Genomic DNA, 17,408 nt, shown 5'->3' with positions numbered 1-17,408 from the left:
TTATCCACAATCCTACTTCTCAGAAATGACCACTCTATACATTTGATATTTTGGTATATATTTTATATCCTGCCAAAGATACACATATAACTATATATATTTGTATAGTAAGAAATATTTCTACAAATATACATATACCCACATGCATATACATATGTTACGCATATAAATATGTAAATATATATACATATTTATGGTTTATATTATTTAGGAATATATACTGATACTATATATAGTACATATAAAACATTCATACGTGTAATATATACATATGTAAGAGAGCTCTTGAAATAAAAATGTACATATATACATACATAGCATCATTTATATAAAATATGTATTATCGATACATTGCCTATTTTTGTCTACTTAAAACATATGTGCTTTTATACATAAAAATAAAACACACAAGAAACCCCATAAGTATATAAAATTTCATAACCTACTTTTTACAATCAGTGCTATATTGTACTTCACCCATTTAAGCAGGACGTTCACAAGGTAGATATCTAAAATTCCCATGGTATCCACCACTAACCATCTCCCATTCCCCGGCCCGCCCCCGACTCCCACACACAACTAAAAGCTATAAACCTTTGTGGATTACATGAAGACTCAGCGGAAAGTGAAGAGGCAAAAATCAACCCGTCCTTCCTATTAGAAGCAGTGAACCAGGTAATTGCACAAGGAGAGCCAGCTCTAATCCCAAAGTGCCGGGTAACCACCTCTCATATGGACACCCTTCACACCCCAGCCCAAAAGCTCTGAACCAAATTAGGAGACAGGAAATCCAGCCTCTCTAATACTTTCCTGCATGTCTCAGTTCAGCCATCCAAGTTCTCCAGTGTTATACAAAGACTAAAAATTCAAAGTAAACAAATTAATTTTGAGTTTTGTTTTTGTTTTTGTTTTTTTTGAGAATTTCAGGTCCTCTCTTGAAAAAAGAGAGGATCTACTGTGGTGTTTTAAAGAGGGTCAGAAATCATGGTCATGGAACTATGCACAGGAAGACCTGTAAGATTGTCCCAGATCTAAACTGAAGCCCTCTTTTCCCTTTGTTTTCATCAAGAAGTCTATGCAGGTAGAGTCTGGAAAATTTTTAACAAAATGGTGCAGCATATTTGGATCCTTTAAAAATAAATGATTTCACAGAGCTCATTTCCATGTTTATTCTATTGATTCAATTTAAAATAAATTGTAACACGGAGCTCATAATAAGCCCAAACAGTCCAGGGATCATTTTCATTTTTGGAATAATAAGTCTCACTTTTTTTTCCTCTACTGCTGCAATTATGAGAGAATAGAAAATTAGATTGTAATTAATCAGCAAGGGTTTCTTTCCTCCGATCACTGGAAATTTCGAGGCTATAAAACTACCAAGTGGAGAAGTCACAGAGTTTCAAAAATAGCTGGAAAAAACAAATGATTCTTTGCTCTGATGCTTTTTTCTTTTTTTTGGTCAGAAGTTAAAGGCAGTTCAAAGTAAGGTTCTCAAGCTAAGTGGAAATCTCGTGCAGACACAGACCAGTGTTGCTGTAAGCAGAAAAGCTTTTGCTAAGGACAGAGAGCACCCATTCTCCTTCCTAAGACTTGAGAGGGGCATTTAGACACTTCCCTTGTCAAACAAGCTTGAGCCAGTGGATTTACTGCCCAAAGACACCATTTCTGTCACCGCAATCCAACTTGGTATGTGGTAGGAATGCAATTGCAATACCATTGCTACACTTCTCTGCTCTTCTCCCAGCCACCCAAAGATCTCTTTGTCTCAGGTACTGGGATTGTAAGACTTATTAATTATGGATCAACCTCTAATTTGAAGGTATGAGTCAAGACAGCAGGGGGTCTCATTAACATAGGATTAAAACCTGACTCAGAGACTAATTATTTTGTAACCATAAAAATTCAGGCTGGATTTAGTTTTGAGCAAAGCAATTTCTCAGCAATGAGCACATCTGTAAGGGATATTTTAAGATACACAGTCATTTTTTCTAACACTTCCTGTGACTCTACCTTTGCTTAATTTTTTCATTGCTGATGCTTCAATGTGCCTATGTGTGCTTATATAGGCACATATATCAGGACACAGCAGGCAAGAACAGTTTATCAACTGATGAAAGGAATCTCTATAGGAATGTGTTGACTAAACTTGGAAACCTGGTGTGAACCGGAAAGACATGGTCAAGCTCAAACACTTGTGAAATGCTAAGTGGGCTTCATTTATTAATGATTGCTGATCGAAGCTAAACAGACACATCTCAGTAAGTGAGTAGCTTCATTTGCCTGAACTACACCTCATTGAGGGGAGAATGTAAGGTGTAAAGTCTCTACTAGCAGCTACCAAATGTTGGTCTGAAGAGGCCTGTGGATCGCTGACACATTTTCACGTATCTACATCAAAATAAGGAAGAAAGATGTTTTCAAATGCTAGATTTAGTCAATTAAAATTTTCTAATTCTTTTTGTGTGGGTTAAAATGCCCATTCTTTCATACAATGACGATCATGGTAGATGGTAGTATCATAGCTGTTGCTATAATTATGTGATTGGGGTTTTTTGTCTAATTTTGTTTTATGTTCTAGCTTAATGAAATGAAGTCTGGGAGGTTTAGGTTGGCCTCTATATATATTGTTTAAATTATACATATGGGGACCAGGCATAATGGCTCACACCTGTAAACCCAGCAGTTTGGGAAGCCGAGGCAGGCATATCACCTCAGGCCAGGAGTTCGAGACCAGCCTGGCCAACATGGCAAAACCCTGTCTCTACTAAAAATACAAAAATTAGCTGGGCATGGTGGTGCACGCCTGTAATCCCAGCTACTCGGGAGTCTGAGGCATGAGAATTGTGTGAACCTGGGAGGCAGAGGTTGCAGTGAGCTGAGATTGTGCCACTGCACTCCAGCCTGGGGGATAGAGCAAGACTCTGTCTCCAATAAATAGATAAATACACACATACATAAAACATATGGTTTGTTGTCAGTTAGGAGTAATTTTGGCTGTAAGTAACAGAAAGTTCAATTCACTGTGGCTTAACCAATAAAGATTTTTATCCCACAAAATGCAGCATCTGGAAGTAGAGGGCTATTGGCAATGATCTGGTGTTCCTCACTGGCCACATGCCAACTTTATTTTGTTGGTCTCTTCCTTTATGTATGTATGCTATGGCCCCAAGAAGGCTGCTTTAGTTCCAGGGATCATATCTGTGCTCAAAGCCAAAGAAGGGGAGGATATGGTGCTTGATTTGTGATTAGGTAGAGCAATAACCTTCCCAGAACTGATTCTCATCCCTTGCAGACTTCTGCTTAGTACCGTTAACTAGAAATCTGTTACAGTGTCACAGGCTCACTCCTAACTGCAAAGTAGTCTGAGAAAGTGGCCATTTACCTTTTCTTAGCTTCTATATTGGTGAAAGGTGAAGAAAAAGTGGGTCAGGAATGGGTGTTTTGTTGGTTAGCCAATAGCGCCTGCCATGGGCCAGGAAATCAAGCATTCTGACCCACGTCACACTATTTTACAAGCCCTTAGTTCAATGATTGTCAAAATATGGTTCCTGAACTAGCAGCATAAGAGTCAACTGGGAATTTAAGAAATGTTCATTCTAGGATTCGACCCCAGACGAAATGGATAAAAAACTGTGGGAAAGGAGTAATGATCAGATGATTCTGACACACGTTCACATTTGAGAGCCATTGACTTAGCTATTGATGGCAGTGGTGGCCCACCTGGAGCAGCCACTGCCATCACGCTGGCAGCAGCAGGGAGGTGTGGCCAGGGCTGCACCCTCTGTGGAGCCAGTGGGAACCAGAGACAAGTGGGAGCCCCACTTCTTCCAAGCTGATGGGGTGGGAGCTCCCCTGGGGGCAGTTACCCAAATCACAGCTGCAGACCTGGGCCTCTCACTCCACAGAGCAGGCAGAAGCACCCCACCTCCTGCTACACAGCTGCAGCTGCCCAAACCACGGCTGCAGACCCAGGCATCCCTGCACTCCTGGGAGCCTGGGAAGGTCCCCCTCTCTGCCCTTGCAGGCTTAAAAATGCCTGCTCCCACTGCCTGGCTTCTTCTTCCTGCTGTCAGCATTTGCTCTGACCTCAGAGCAAAGTCAGGGGAGAACTTGGGCACTGTCACAGCCTGGCTGTGTGTGCACACACTCAGGGCAGTGCTGACACTCCAAACCCCTGCTGCCTCGACCCCCTCCAGACTTTGGGCGCTGACCAGCATAGGAAGGAACCTGATGGGCAGCTGAGGGCAGCTCAGTGCAGCCCTGCAGATGCCCAATGGCACCTAAAGCCTGGTGCCATGAACAGCAGCAGGAGGAAGACAAGTTCCTGGGAGGAAGGGAGTAGGTCCCTGATGAGGCCCCACCTTCAGGCCAGGGAGGGCCTGAAGCATGGATGCCAGGCTGCCAGTCCCGTGGACTGGAGAGGGAACCTGTGGTGCCTTTTCTGGGCCTGCCCGTGGACCAGTCGTCACACACTTCCTCCACCCTGAGGCCCATAAAAGCCTCAGGCTCAGCCAGAGCTGAGCAGGGATGACTGGCTGCAGACAGGAACTACCCATTTCAAGGCCTCCTCTCTGCTGAAAGCTACAGAGGTCAGGACGACCTGCCTGCAGAAAGGAGCTGCCTGCTCCAAGGTATCCTTTCTGCTGAGAGTACAGAGACTACAGAGAGATGATGGGGAGATAACAGGACAAGCTGCCTGCAGAGAGGAGCCACCTACTCTAGGGCATCCTCTCTGCTGAGAGCTATGCAGACGACGAGACAACCAGCTGCAGACAGGAGCTGCCCTCTCTGCTGATAGCTTGTCAGGGTGACTTGCCTAGCAGAAAGGAACTACCCTCTCTGCTAGGAGCTGAACACTTGTCAGGACACCCTGGATGTAGAAAGAAGCTGCCCCCTGTGGGTTTCCTCTGAGCTATTCTATCGCTCAATAAAGCTCCTCTTCATCTTGCTCACCCTCCACTTGTCTGCATACCTCATTCTTCCTGGTTGCAGGACGAGAACTCAGGACCCACCAAATGGCAAGGCTAAAAGAACTGTAACACAAACAGGGTTGAGACATGCTCCTTGCTTGTCAAGTTGCAGGAAAAGAAAAGGAAAGAAGAGCTGCAGCCCGTCAGGGAGCCCAGATCTGGGAGCTCCCTGAGCCAGGGCTCTGACTCCCTCTTTGGGGCCCTGCAGTCCCTGGCATCTCCAAGTTTCTGGGTGCCACCGTGTTCCCTGGTGTCAGCCATACAAGTTACTTGTGATGTGCCTGGTCCAGCTGAAGCCTTGCAGAGAGCTGGCACCTGTGTTGGCACCTGGAGTTTCCTGACCTGCTGCAGCAGCCTGTATATGTAACTGTGCACAGTGGCCAGACCCCATGCTCACTCACACACCCCTCGCCATTCCATGCCTGACTCACCCTTGGCAGGCATGGGACCCAGGCTGGTAGCGTGAGCCAAGAGCAGCCTGAGAGAGCAAAACGAGTGGGCCTGAGCAAAACTTGAGCAAAGGCACACAGGCCACACATGTTTCTGGCCAGAAAAACTACACCCCAAAGATCCTGTAACACTACTGCCCCAGAATCGTTTTCTGGCAATTTTTAGCTGAAAGGGTGAGAACATGCTGTCTAGAAAAACATCAAATGATCACCTGTGGGCAGCGAGTATTTTAAATTACTCATGGTTCCTTTTCCCAGATTTAGTTGAACTATCAAGCACCAGTTCTCAAACTAAAGCTTGAGAATTACCTTGCTGGGCCCTGCCCCTGAGTCTCTAATTCAGGAATTCTAGGCTGAGGCCTCCATAGTTACTTTTCTAATAATAACCAGGTGAGGCTGGTAATTTTCTGGTCCCAACTGTAACACTTGTGTGGGTTGCAGGCCACCAGCACCAACGTTGCCAGGTAGCTTGTTGGAAATGCAGACTTTTCTGGTCTCATCCCACACCCACTGAATCAGAATCTCTGGGGGTGGTGGGGCCCAGCAATCTGTATTTTAACAAGTTATTAAGGTAACTATGATGCACGCTAAAGGTTGAGAACCAGTATTCTGGACTAGTGCCTCTAAAACTTTCTTATATATGTGAGTCAACTATGGGTCTTACTAAAAATGCAGATTCTAATTTGGTAGGTGTACTAATCTTCTGGGGTTGCCAAAGACTGGGAAGCTTAAACAACAGAAATTTATTTTCTCACAGTTTTGGAGGCTGAACATCTCAAGTTAAGGTGTTGGCAGAGCTGATTTTTTCTTAGGCCTCTCTCCTTGGCTTGTAGAAGGCCCTCTCCACCCTCTGTCTTCACATGGTCGTTCCTTTGTGCATGTATACATCTGTCTACAAACTTCTTCTTTGATTAGGACAGCAGTCATACTGCATTACCCACCCCTCGGGAGCTAATTTTCACTTAATTATCTGTTGAAATTTCTTATCTCCAAATATGGTCACATTTCAACATACTGTAACATATAAATCTAGGGGCTATAGGGACACAATTTAGCCCATAATGGTAGATATGAGGTGAAGTCTGAGATTCTGCATTTCTAATCAGCTCCTGGCTGATGCAAGACTTCTGGTCTGTGGACCACACTTTGAGTGACAGTGACAGGATTCTACATCTCACACTGTGCCTGGGCAAGGACTGATCCAACAATTTCATTTAAGGAACTCTTTGTATAATTCATGCATTGACCATTTATCTTTTATACATCTTTACACTTTAATGCAGTACACAATATAATAAACCTTCCATTATCTGATGTTCTCCAAATTGATTCCTCCTGTAGTTCATATAATTCTTAATTCAATTGTCCTGGGGACTCTCCTAGAGTGACAGAAATTAGAATGTTGGACTGCAAGATCAGAATTCTAAGTAACTTTGACAGATTGGAGAACTGTAACATTATAAATGAAAAGGACAAAGTCCAATAGGGATAAGGGCAAGACAGTGCCCTTAGGTATGAAAAAGAAAGGATACACCATGAGGAGAACTATAAAGCACCCATGAAGTGGAAATCCAGAATCTCATCACTCAAGGTGAGAAATTATACTAACAATGAGCATCCAAGCAAGAAATTACAGAGGGGCAAGATAGCAAATGCCTCTCTGCTAATGCAAAGCCCCAAGTTAAGAAGAAATATATAACCATGTATTAAAACGACTCAGCATGTTACTGAGTTTTAAATATTATACTTCTGATAATTATGTTTGCATGGCTCTGAAACTGATTTTGACATTATTTTCTACTTAGGTTATGCCTGCTATATACTTAATTTCCTTAATCATTATGAAAATCAATGCCAGTTGCACACTGTAATCATCTGGATAACTTTTAAAACCATCAGTGTCCAAGCCCACCTATATTAATTTCCTAGGGCTGATACAGCAAACTACCACAAACTAGGTGGCTTAGAACAACAGAAATTTCTTGTTTCACAGTCCTGGAGGCTAGACATCTAAAATCAAGATGTTGAATGCTCCCTCTTAAACCTGTAGCAGAACTTTCTTTGTCTATTTTGACTTCTGGTAGCTCCAGGCATTCCTTGGATTGTGATGGCATAATGCCAATCTAATTTTTACATGGTGTTCTCCCCGTGTCTCTCCACATTGCCTTCCTTCTGTGCATGTCTGCGTCTGTGTTCAAATGTTCACTTTTAATAAGGGCACTAGTCATACTGGATTAGGATCTACTCTCATGATTTCATTTTAGCTTGATTCCTTTATAAAGATGCTATTTCCAAATAAAATAACATTCTGGGGGTATTAAGGCTTAGGACTTCAACATATCTTTTTTTTGTTTTTTTTTTTTTTTTTTTGAGTCAGGGTCTCAATCTGTCACCCAGGCTGGAGTGTAGTGGCATGAACACAGCTCACTGCAGCCTCAGCCTCCCATGTAGCTCTGACCACGGACATGTGCCACCATGCCTAGCTAATATTTTTATTTTTTGTGGAGATGATGTCTCACTGTGTTGCCCAGGCTGGTCTCAAACTCCTGGCCTCAAGCAATCCTCCTGCCTGGACCTCTCAAATGTGCTGGGATTACAGGCGTGAGTCACCATACCCAGCCAGGACTTCAACATATCTTTTGGGGGGACACAATTCAGCCATAACACCACCCCTGAACAATTATATCAGAGTTTCTAGGGTGAAGCCCAGACATCAGTATTTTGTAAGTGCCCCAGATATTCTAATACACAGCTAGGGTTAAGAACCACTAGCCTGGGAGAAGGTCTGCAGCAGCCACTGTCATCAAGGAAAGCCACTGGCACTGATGGTAGCTTAAGTGAATGTTGAGTAGGGCTTTATCCACCATGTCAGAATTTTGGCTGAAGCCCCAAAGCTGAAGCAATAGGTGATAAATTATGTACATTCTACAGCAGTGGTTTTCAATCTTGGATGCACGCTGCAATAAGGCAGGAGCTTTAAAAGGGCCCTGAGAGGCCTGGGTGCATCCCCAGAGATTTCCATGTAATCAGTCTGCAGTGAGACTTGAGCATGGAGAATTTTTAAAGTTCCCCAGGAACTATGCAGTCAGGATGAGAATCACTGTTCATGAAGAAAAATTTGCCACTGGCCCTCTAGACTGAGACAAGAATGCAGGGCTCCCAGCCCTTAGACTTCACTCTTCTCACCCACCAGCTTACCTTTTTAACATATTTTACAACATCCAACTGAAGCTCGTTCAGTATTCTTTCCATTTCTCATATACAAGTGAACAAACCTTTCTCATCTTTAAAGACAGGATGCTCCCCTAACCCTACTTCCCAATAAATTACCGTCTCTCTTCTCACTGTCAGGCAAAGCTTCCTGAAATATTATTCTAAACCCATCTTTGTCAAGTTTTCACATCCCAGGTGCCTCATAAGACTCTGAAACGGCTTCTGCCCTGACCATTTCCTTGAATCTGAACTTGCCAAGGTCATCAACAGCCTCCTCTTGCCAAATAACAAAAGACACAGTCCTCATCTTCCTGGAGCTCTGTCATGTTCAAGACATTTGCCCACTCCCTCCCTCACGTGTGCTGTTCTTCATTTAACTTCCATTGAGCCATTCCTTTCATTTTCCTTTGGGGGATCCTCTTGGTCACTTGCCTGTTAGTTACATTTTGGTGTCCATCTTAGGCTTATGTTTGTCTCATTGTGGATTAGGTTGAAGCATGCAAAATTATGTTTTGCATAGGCCAAAAGTGGTTAAATGTTGGTCATATCATATGGTTTAACCTAATGCCCTATCCCATTAATTGTTAACCACACCACCCATGGCTGTAGCTACTGCCTGTACGATGGGCTGATACTCAGATGGGTTGTTAAAATACTGCCATGTTTCCTACTCATGAGTAAGTAGCTGTTGCCCATTGTCTTCCTTCCATCAGAGCCCTCCCAGTGCCCTAACTGCCCTGCCCCTTTCCTGAGACTCCTGACATCTCTCAATGACCGAGTATCTAAAGGGAAGATGCCTGGCTTAACAGGGGTCCTCTGGGGCCCTGGTTCAAGGTTATAGCCAGCATCTGTTCTGATTGGTCAGTGTCTATGTTGTGCTGATTGTTAAATATTTTTGTATTACCCCGTCTTTATATTCATGATTTCCCAATGTATCTATTCAACTCAAACATCTTTTCTTAGCCTCAGACCCATATTGTCATTTGGCTTTTCCTACTTTGTTCCCATATAGACACATCAGAGTCAATATGCTTAAGATGAAACTCATCAAACTCTTCTTAGTAATAACTTTTACTTTGATGGCCCCAGTGATCTACATCTCCAGGCATCCACACCCTTGTGTAGTCCCCTCTCACACTGACTGTGCCCTTGGCCATGGGACTTGCTTTGGCCAATGGGCATTATCAAATGTGATAGAAATTGAGGCTTAACAAGAGCTTGTCCTCTTGGAATGCTTGCTCCTGGAGACTGCTCCCAAACTATAAATAAGCTCAGACTAGACTTCTGTGTGATGGGACCACGACGAAAGGGCGAGGCCATGGGCAGAAGCCTGGTGGCCCCAGAGGATACAGCACATCTTCACTCTACCCTGTCCAAATGCCTGGGCTACAAAATGATGAGAAGTAGAATAGTTATTTTAAGCATCGGTATTAGTCAGGGTTCTGCAAAGAAACAGAACCAATAGGAAGTATATAAATACAGAAAGAGACTTATTATAAGGAATTGGCTCATGTGATTATGGAGACTGAGATAGCTCAAGGTCTCCAGGGTGACCCGGCAAGCTGGAGACACAAGAAAGGCAATGGTGTAGTTCTGATCTGAGTCCCAAGGCCTGAGAATCAGCAGAACAGATTAGGTAGAACTGATGGTATAAGCTCCAGTCTGAAGGCTAGCAGGCCCAAGACCCAGGAATAGCCACTGTTTCAGTCTGAATTTGAAGGCAGAAAAAAGTTGATGATTCAGTTCAAAGACTCTCAGGCAGTAGAAATTCTCTTTTACTTGGGGGAGTGTTAGCCTTTTGTTCTATTTGGGCCTTCAGCTGATTGGATGAGGCCCAACCACATTAGGGAGAGCAATCTGCTTTACTCAGCCTGCTGATTTAAATGTGAATCTCATCTAAAAATACCCTCACAGAAACACCTAGAATAATGTTTGACCAAATATCTGGGCACCCCATGGCCCAGTCAAGTTGACACATAAGACTAACCATCTTAGCTTCTAACCTCTTTGGTGGTTTGTTATGCATCAGTAGATGACAGAAAAAAAATGTACTCCTTATATAGTATGATACAGTACAATACTGATGTATATAATACAGACTCATGCCTTGACCCACTTTAAGAAATGACATTCACCTAGTACCCAGTCCAATATCTAAGACTCTCCTAGACTTATAGTTTCCCTTCATTTGTACTTAGTCACCAATATTGTCTAGTTTTACCTCCTGATTATTTTCAAAAGACTCTTTGAAACTGCCACTGGCCTTTGTAGGACTATCACTGCCCTTGATAGGACAGAGATGGCAAATACTTGCTGGCATGCTATCACTCCTCCCTTCAATGGCCATGGCGAACATAGCCAATCCATCAGGGCCTGTGTTCAGCTCACCAGGAAAGTAGCCACATAATTCTCCTCAACACCCCACTCTAGGCATTTACTACAAATCCATCACACAATGTGCAACTTATTTGCTATCCCTATCCCAGACCCTCCTGATTTATCACTTGTATTAAGGCAAAAGCCACTTTGCTGGTTGCACCAACCTCCCCTGTTACAACTGGAGTCAATTTATCATCCACCTTTTAGAAGGATTACCAAATTAATCTTTCTAACATGCATCTAGAGTTGTCCAGGTTGCCAAACTGTGCTCACCCCAGGACTCAGAGGTGTTTAGGTGCGTGGTAGTTAGATTGATTGCAAAGCTGGCCCTAATTCTCTATCCTTATCTACCTCTATGTCCTCTTTGATGTGGCTTTGTAGTTTCTCTCATTAAGAGATAGTCTATTCCCCCCTCTTTTCAATCTGGGATGGCCTGGTGACTTTCTCTGAACTACAGAAGTGACATTGTGGAGATTCTGGGCCTAGGCCTCAAGAGGCTTTAAGCACTTCCCTCTCTCTTGGAACCCCGTCACAGGCATGAGAGCAATCCCAGCCTAGCCTGCTCAACGATGAGACATGGAGTGGAGCCAGTTCTCTTAAGCTACATTCCCTAGAGATGCCACAAAGCTGCCTAAGTACCCACAGCTGACCACAGATAGACTTGTGAGCCACAGTCCCCCAGCAGCCAGAAGAACTCATGCGGTTATAAGATTGTCACACCACATTTCATGGCCATAGGTAACTGATACAAAGTTTATATTAAGGACCTGCGAAGTAGGCCCCCCACAGCTCTATTTGGACAAAAAACTAAAAAATGACTGCAAAAGAAGTCATGCAACTGAGTCAAAGAAAAAAATGCAAGAGCCAACATAATCGATAGGTGGCTATTACGGAAAAACCTTTACAAGGCTATAAGAACACAAGGGGGCACCTGCTGATCCCACAACAATGCAGCCAGCACTTTCATCACTGGTGGGAGACAAAGCCTGCATCAGCACCTGAGTACCCCCAGAATCTTCAAAGGGCTTTGGCCAGCATCAGCGGCCCGAGCAGCTGACATCTCTGCAGGGAACTGACGCAGGGAAAATGGTAGTCACCACATGCTAGCAAAGAAGACTGTGATGGTGAGAACGTTTGAGTTGCAGCCAGGGGACTGCCAGAAATAAAAGAAGGCACTTTGAAAGGTCCTGCCAGAGAAAGAATACCTTAGGATAATACATATTTAATTTTTACTCTAACTTACCCCACAACCTGCTGTGGACCTAGGAAAATAATTTATAAAAGTCTATTTGTAATTGTTCAAAAATTATTTCCTTTGCCATAAAAAAAAACAAAAACAAAACTAGTTAAGACTGAAATACAAATTTATTCATCTCTCACTTCACATGCATTTCCATGCATTCACACACAATTTCCACCTGCATCATTTCTACTCATTTCTACCTTTTTTTTTTTTTTTTTTTTTTTTACTCTCCCAGCACCTCTTAGATCATATGGTTTCTTATTTCCTGCCATATCAGCTGGAGAGGTGAATCCCTCTTCTTCCGAAACAGCATCTCACAGTCTGCATAGTTTCTCTCCCCATAAGACACATGATTTTATGCAAAAAAATAGCAGCTACTATTCTGTTATTCAAGCAACCATGTAAACAAGGGGAAGGTGGTTCCTTCTCTCCAGCAGCGGCAGGAAAATTGAACTTGTAGTAGAATGAAAAAAAAAAATGGCCACAAATTCTTTGTCCTGCCTATAAAAGTAAAGTCTTTCTCCTTCATCCTTGAATCAGTGTTTGGAAATAACATTTGCTTTGGCTGACACAACTTCAGCAGCAAATGAGAGAAGAGGCTTGAAATGTGCTTGCACATTTTTCTGTGTGCTGGAAGTCTGAGACAATTTGAAGGAGCTCAAGCTTGCCTGCTGAAGGAGCTAAATGGAGAAAACCAAAGCCCCGAGCCTTTTATCTGCAAACCACCAGGCCTGTGAGTGAGGTCATCTGAGCCCCTCCAGCTCTGGCTAAGCTGCCAGGGAGGCAGCAGCTCCATGAGTGAGCTTGGGCAAGACAAGCTGAAGAATGACCTGGTTTAGTCCAGCCCATGAAAGGATGAGCAAATAAATGATTGTTGGTTTCAGCTATTACGTTTTGGGATAGTTTATGAAGCAAAAGCTAATGGATGTATCACTAAAAATAAGGTATACGAAGTCAGAAGCATATGGTACAGTGGGAAGTTATAACACCTCCTCATACAGAATGGGCTTTCCAAACCACAGCAAATTGCAGAGGGGATAGGAGCAGCATTCATTTCTTTCTCCATCATCAGAATCTTATTTTAAAAGCCCATGGGGGAATGAAGATGCAATAAACAACAAAAATACAAAATAAAATGAGAGCAAAAGTTTCTTTCAAATCTTAGAAAATCGAATAGGTATATTTTTTGAGAAGAGCAGTTAAGGTTCTGTAAACTACAGAACTATTTATGTTTTCACAAGCTGTTTGGTTTAGAGAAACTCCTATTGCAATTTATGTTTCACCTCTAACAAGTGCATGGGATTTTCCAGAATACAGTATGTATACTGGTCATTTTTTGGTCACATTTTCCACATATTATACAAATATTTACCCACATTTCACTGCTTTCTCACCTGTAACCTATTATATTTTTCTTTAAAGCATTCAAAATGCCTTTTGAATGAAGACTCGATACATATGAAATTTACTTATTGATTTGCTCTATTTTGATTTTAAGGCAAACCTTAAATTCAGCTGATCACAATGTCCAAGCTTTTTTGTTTTCCCTTTATACCTTATTCCACATGGCAATGGATGGAGTCATGGCAAGAGAGGAGGAAGTGGAAAATAGAGGTGATAAAACATTTTGCAATTTTCCAAGTGCTAGAGATAATCTAAGATATGTACATTTTCTATTGAAATAGCTTCCCCCATAACAATATACACTCTTATTAAAACCGTATTTTTGCTGACAGAGCCCAGAGTTGCTTCACTCAGCATCCTGCATATAGAAAAAAAAAAACCCTAACTGCTCTAATATGAATATACTTTGATTTTCTTGATCTCTTATATTTTATTTTTTTTTTTTTAGAGCTCTGCATTCTTCCTTGACACTTCCGAATGACTCTGGGACTGACTGTATTTGAACCAAGTTATTTGAATTTTGATCTATACCTTTAATAAGGCACATTGTTTTGAATACATTAGTTTGAATAGTAGAGCCAATTGACTATTTTTTTTTTAATGTAAGTAAAGAAATTAATAGGATTTAGAGATTAGCTTGAACATCTTCTTTTATGTGACCTAGATAACATAGTCTTATTATTACTACATTCCTAATAATAAAGCATATAGTGTTTTCCAATGAGTTAAAACAATAGATATATATAAATATAAAACATATTACTCATATCTGTTGTGTACTTAGCTATTATTAATATTAATCATCTCTGCTTTCTTCCAGGGAGCTTAAAGTCCCATATATTTTACAATCAAAACTGTCAAGAATTATAACACTACTCTATGTGATCTCTATAAAAGGAGATATAAATGCCAATCAAAAGGGCCATTGGTTGCTTCATTTATATTCAAAGTGCTTCTGCCCATAAATTACATTAATGGTTTATATTCTTTTTACATAGTCTTGGATGAACTTGAAAGCATGCCAAGTCCCTTCATTCTTGTAACCTCTGCTTGAGGAGGAAGCAACCCAGGCAGGGCCTTAGGATCTCCTTTGCCCCGTACACTCCCTAGACATGGAGAAATGGCCACACTCTGCCTGTCTCCAGGCAGTCCCAGATTCAGTGCCCTTGTAGAGGAGCGTGATGGTGACTCTGCATGCTAAATTGACGCAAGGAGTACATCCGGGTCGCTCCTGTAACCGTGTACACCAAGTTAAAGCTGTTTGGCAAGGCCGTGGTTCTTATTTCCCTTTACTTTTGCTGGGGAAAAACTTTGTCAAATGCTAAATACGTTGAAATGTCATCATAAGTCCATCTCAGAACAGACTAGGATGATGATGGCACCCAGGGCATTCCAGCCTGATTCCAACTTGGGTTCTTTAGTAAATCATATTTAAATGAAATTCAAGAACACCTCCAATTTAGAGCATCCTTGATTAATCCATTTTGAAATGTCACTACTGTACTCCAAACACCTTCGGAGAATGTGCTAACAAGCACAAGGTGGTGACTCCCTGTTTAAAGAACGATGCTGAAATAAGAAAGGTCGTTCCTCAAGGAGAGCAAAATTACCCCATCGATTGCACAATAATATTTGAAGTAATTGTCTTCCTGCTTTCTTCCCATTTTCCAAGATATTTATTACTGGAATTGTGAACATTGAACCAGACTGGGGGAAAGCCACCTTCCCATTGACTTACAGGTCAACCCCTTCAGACAATAGACAATGGCAGGAACATCAAGCGGACACCCACAGGTTTGCTGCCAGAATTGTGTCTTGTCTCCTGGGCATCCTGTGTGATTTTCTTCTGTCTGTTCTTCTAACTTCCTGGCTCTAATCAGAAGCAGGAGAAGCACTTCTAGAGCAGAATTTAATAGTGTCCGTATTGGCTAGCACTGTAACTTTGTAGATGGGGCAGGGGGATGCATTACGAATAAGTGACTGTGAATGGAACGCTGCTGGCCTATTATTTTTTCAGATTGAGAAATGATTGCTGTCGTTTCAAACTGCTATATTTAGTGAATCACTAATTAAATAATCTTATAGGGTCTACGTACCTGGCAGTGTGGTAGGCACCCAAGGACCAAAGAAAATGTGGAAAATGGCCGCTACTGTTTCTTGTCTTATGAGGGCAGAAGTTCATTAACTCACTGAGGCAAGTATTGATTGAGCCCCCAGTATGTGCCAGACACTCTCCTGGCTCTGGGAAAAGGGCAATGAACAGGCCAGGCGCGGTGGCTCAAGCCTGTAATCCCAGCACTTTGGGAGGCCAAGGAGGGCAGATCACCTGAGATCAGGAGTTCAAGACCAGCCTGGCCAACATGGTGAAACCCCATCTCTACTAAAAATACAAAAATTAGCTGGGCGTGGTGGCGGGTGCCTGTAATCCAGCTACTCTGGAAGCTGAGGCAGGAGAATTACTTGAACCCGGGAGGCGGAGGTTGTAGTCAGCTGAGATCGTGCTATTGCACTCCAGCCTGGGCAAAAGGACAAAACTCCATCTCAAAAATAAATAAATAAGCAATGAATAAAACAGACAAAAGCCCTTACCTTCATGGAAATTTGTAATTTCATGGAGGACACAGTAAAAACCAGAATAAATGAGTAAAATGTACAATATGTAGATAGTGCTGAAAGGGGTTAGGAAGCAGAATGGGTTTTAGTTTTTGTCCAGGGAAGACCTTGCAGAGAAGAAAATATTTGGGTAAAGATGTAAAGGAAATGAGGAGTGAGTCACATGCAACCCTAGACAAAGAGGAAGCACTGGCAGGAAACATGTCTGAGGTAAGAGCTGCAGCCACAGGTTTTACATTCCTAAAATAGCCACCACATTTTCCATCCCATGTGACCTTTAGAGCCTTGCCATCCCCCACCCCATCAAGAGGTGAAGTCCATGTCCCCTGTCCTGGAACCTGGATAGGCCTTTGGGATTGCCCAGACTGGTAGAGAATGGCAAGTATGACAGAAGGGATGCTATGTGACTTCCAGGCTAGGTTGTCAAAGGCAGTAGAGCTTGTGTGCGAATCTCTTTCTTGGAAGACTCACCTTTGGGACACAGCCTCCATGCTGTGAGGAAGCCTAGGCTGCACAGAGGCCACATGGAGAGGGATTGGGCTGAGCCTCCGGCTCACAGCCTGCCGCCATGTGAATGAGCCAACTCTTAAGCAGATCCTCCAGCCTCCAGTTGAGTCCCCTCAGCTGACACCATGTACAGCAGCAATGAGGGACCTCTGATCAAATGGCAGAGTTGTGAGCAAAATAAATGATTGCTGTTGTTTTAAACCACCATGTCTTGGGGGTGGTCATAGCACTAGGTAATTAAAACAAGCAAAGAAGATGCTGTGGCTAGAAGGAGCTAGGTTAAGAGACAGTGGGAGGAGAGGAGAAGGCCAGATCCTGGAGGGCTTTACAGGCCATCAGAAATACTTTGGCTTTCACTCTAATGGCAAAGTCACTAGACCAACAGTTAAATGCTGCTCAACTCCAGGTCCTGGGCATCATTAAGAGGGCAGCATCCAGGGGCAACAAGTCCTTAAACACCCTTGGGCAGAAGTTTTTTCCAATAGAGGGAGTCTTCCTTCTACCTCCCATGAGCACCATTTTGTACTCACGGTGACAAACTCACACACCGATCTGACCAGCCCTTTCCCTGTCACAAAACTAATATTTTCCTCTACAGTAAGCACTAAGGATCCCAAGAGCACGCTGGCT

At 42.8% G+C, this 17,408-nt stretch overlaps 2 annotated features.

Annotated features, from left to right (window-relative positions):
* Nucleotides 3,637-4,186: an enhancer, noted in NCBI's record as "H3K27ac-H3K4me1 hESC enhancer chr20:12046496-12047045 (GRCh37/hg19 assembly coordinates)". NCBI's record gives its function as "activates a minimal SCP1, AML or CMV promoter by ChIP-STARR-seq in naive H9 embryonic stem cells {active_cell/tissue: H9 hESC(naive)}" and the evidence as "EXISTENCE:reporter gene assay evidence [ECO:0000049][PMID:30033119]".
* Nucleotides 15,577-16,776: an enhancer, noted in NCBI's record as "CDK7 strongly-dependent group 2 enhancer chr20:12033906-12035105 (GRCh37/hg19 assembly coordinates)". NCBI's record gives its function as "activates an origin of replication core promoter dependent on BRD2, BRD4, P300/CBP, MED14 and CDK7 cofactors, with strong dependence on CDK7, by STARR-seq in HCT116 cells {active_cell/tissue: HCT116}" and the evidence as "EXISTENCE:reporter gene assay evidence [ECO:0000049][PMID:35650434]".

This window comes from Homo sapiens, chromosome 20, assembly GCF_000001405.40.
Source record: "Homo sapiens chromosome 20, GRCh38.p14 Primary Assembly".
NCBI classification, from domain to species: Eukaryota; Metazoa; Chordata; class Mammalia; order Primates; family Hominidae; genus Homo; species Homo sapiens.
The sequence above is the reverse complement of the archived record's forward strand: the minus strand, read 5'-3'. Positions and strand labels throughout refer to the sequence as shown.